General features: G+C 40.4%; 1 annotated feature.

The window, feature by feature from the left end:
- Window positions 2193-2724: an enhancer, noted in NCBI's record as "OCT4-NANOG hESC enhancer chr3:87245748-87246279 (GRCh37/hg19 assembly coordinates)". NCBI's record gives its function as "activates a minimal SCP1, AML or CMV promoter by ChIP-STARR-seq in primed H9 embryonic stem cells {active_cell/tissue: H9 hESC(primed)}" and the evidence as "EXISTENCE:reporter gene assay evidence [ECO:0000049][PMID:30033119]".

Below are 2942 nucleotides of genomic sequence, written 5' to 3'. Positions count from 1 at the left end.
TATATTTCTCTGTGTGGAGTTCAACTTATAAATCTCCTTGTAAGCCAAATCTGTGACTGCTCTTTGCTCCTGTGGTTTGAAGCCACCCTCACTCCTGTAAGATGATAGATTATCAGCAGAGAAAAACAGCAGGCTTGTGTTCACAATGATAGATAATGGGTGGAATTAAAGTGTGTTCCTGAACTTGGTTGAACAACCAGCCTCATCACTTGAGACATTTAAAAATACCCTGTATAAAGAAAAAGAAAATGCCCTTCAGGGTAAATCATTTCCTCTGTGCATAGATAATCTGTCTTTTCAAGATTGTTCTTTGTATGAAAAGTGGAACTAATGGTATTTCAACAGAAGTATAAGAAATCTCTTTAAACTCACAAAAGAATAGCTAACAACTATGAAGTGAGTGACAGTGGAGAAATGACAGTCTGTCCTCTAACACTGGGCATGCAGTGACAGGCCTAGGAAAGGCTCAGTTTTACCCATTGCTTGTCACTTAACTGAACATCTAGTGGTGTGCTCTATACTAATTTTTAGCACCATTTTTACAGCTCATAGAAAAATAATAGAAACTAGAGGTCATGCCGATAATTACAAAATGATCTATTAATAAAATGGCAAATAGAGGGAATTTTATTTTTCTATAACTGATCATATTTTTCCATAGTGTGATGACGTGTCAGAATTACCTCCTTGATGTAACAAAATACACAGTCTTGATAAGTGAGAGTTCCTAAGTCACCACTGCAAAAATACTCAAAGTAACAGTTTTCAAACTATTTCATATGATCAGTACAACTAGAAAATTATATTTATTCAAGTATTAAAGTATTAGTTCTATTTCAAAAACAGTCTTAGACACAAGTGCAGTGATCAAATAGGCAGAAAGCCATCTTATCCTATTATTTGTTTTAATCAGCAATAGCAAATGAGATATGACCTGTTCCAGATATTTGGATTTCTTAATGTGTTGTAGTAAATAGATTGTTGTTCATATTATAATAGATCGGATTCATTGAGCAGGGAGGGGAGACTGCATTATAATTCACATGTTGCCAGAGGGGTTACCACAGAATATTTCCCCAGGTTCTTAAATTCCTTGAGCCAGAGAGTTTATTGTGTTTTAAAAGATTTATTTATTATTAGTGAGAAAACTTCTCAGGGGGTTTGATGTTTTATTTTCCTTCCTGAGAAAAGCTCTAGGGCATTTTATATTACCTGTTCAAATACATGGAGTACCTATGGCTAAGAGGAGCTTAGTTCTATAATCCAAGGAACCATCAAATGCTGCAAACGTATGTCATCAAATTTGTATAAATTTTAGAATATTGTATATAAACACATTCTCAAAAAACTTTGTAGTGTTTCTGAGAAAGAAAGTTTGTATTAGAAAAACTTGTTGTAGCATCTTTTCCTGATTCCAAAACTTGCTTTTACTTCCCATTCTCACTTTCCACAGTTCTTTGCCAGGGAGATAAGGAAAATTTACCCAGGGCAAGGATCACCTTGCTGTTCCACACCCCTTCCTAACATTCATCTCTGGGATGGCCCTGACTCCCTTCCAGGTTAACGACTGAAAGAGGAGAGATGTAAGAAACAGGAAGGAGCTTATTGACAGGCACAGGTATAAAATCCAGTGGATGGTGCTCTCTAGATGTGGTTGTTTGCTAATACCAACACGCCCTGCTAGATGCCTTCCTGGGTTCCTCAGGTACATGCACAGCTGGGAACTTCTGATTGAGTTGCCTTTGAGGTGCGCAATACTGTTCTCACGTAGTCCATTTCACTCCACATATGACCCCTCCTTCAGGCCCCTACCATGAGCATCCAAAGGCCCATCACTCTATTGGGGTCATATAAACCTACTAGGCAGTCTCCTGTAGTAGCACTTAAAAGGGCTTCAGGCTGCACATGATACTTATGTTACTCTCCAGCCAGAGAGCATCACATACCTTTCTTCTGCCTTTAATGAGATTTGTTTCCATTGTAGCCTCTTACCTCTGCCATTCAGTCTATTCCCTGTGGACTTTTTAAGGTACACATCTGGCATCAGCTTCTGTACCTAACAAACTTCGAGGGCCAAGTCCTATCACTTGACTTACATCAAGAGGGAAGAACCACCTCTTTTTCTTTCCCAGTGCATGGGGGTGTGTTTGTGTGTGGGTGTGTCTGTGTATATCCAGCAATGGAGGGAGGGTGGATGGTAAAGCACTCCAGAAAATTTATCTACACCCTCAGCTTGGAAGAGGGTGACAGGCTGAGAGTTGCAAATCCAGTCTTGCCACTCTCTTAGTAAGTCTGCATACATAGTGCATCACCTCATATTGGAATGTGGCCACATATAGCATGACAGGAGGCACCTCTTCACAAAGCAGCAGGAGAGAGAATGAGTGCCAGCAGGGGAAATGCCAGATGCTTATAAAACCATCAGATCTTGTGAGAACTCACTATCACTAGAACAGCATGGGGGAAACCACCCCCATGATTCAATTACCTCCACCTGGTCCCACCCTGGACACATGGGGATTATAACAACTCAAGGTGAGATGTGGGTGGGGACACAAAGCCAAACCATATAATTCCATCCCTCACCCCTCCCACATCTCATGTCCTCCCATTTCAGAAGACAATCATGCCCTTCCAACAGTCCCACAAAGTCTTAACTCATTCCAGCATTAACCCAAAAGTCCAAGTCCAAAGTCTCATCTGAGACAAGACATGTCCTTTCCACCTATGAGCCAGTGAAATCGAAACCAAGTTAGTTACTTCCTAGATACAATGGAGGTGCAGACATTGGGTAAATACAGCTGCTGCAAATGGGAGAAATTGGCCAAAACAAAGGGGCAGTCATTAAACCTTAAAGTTCCAATATGATCTCCTTTGACTCCATGTCTTACATCCAGGGCACGTTGATGCAAGAGTTGGACTCTCATAGCCTTGCATAGTTA

The sequence above is a fragment of the Homo sapiens genome, chromosome 3, assembly GCF_000001405.40.
Source record: "Homo sapiens chromosome 3, GRCh38.p14 Primary Assembly".
In the NCBI taxonomy this organism is placed as follows: Eukaryota; Metazoa; Chordata; class Mammalia; order Primates; family Hominidae; genus Homo; species Homo sapiens.
This window is presented reverse-complemented; position numbering and strand designations above follow the sequence as displayed.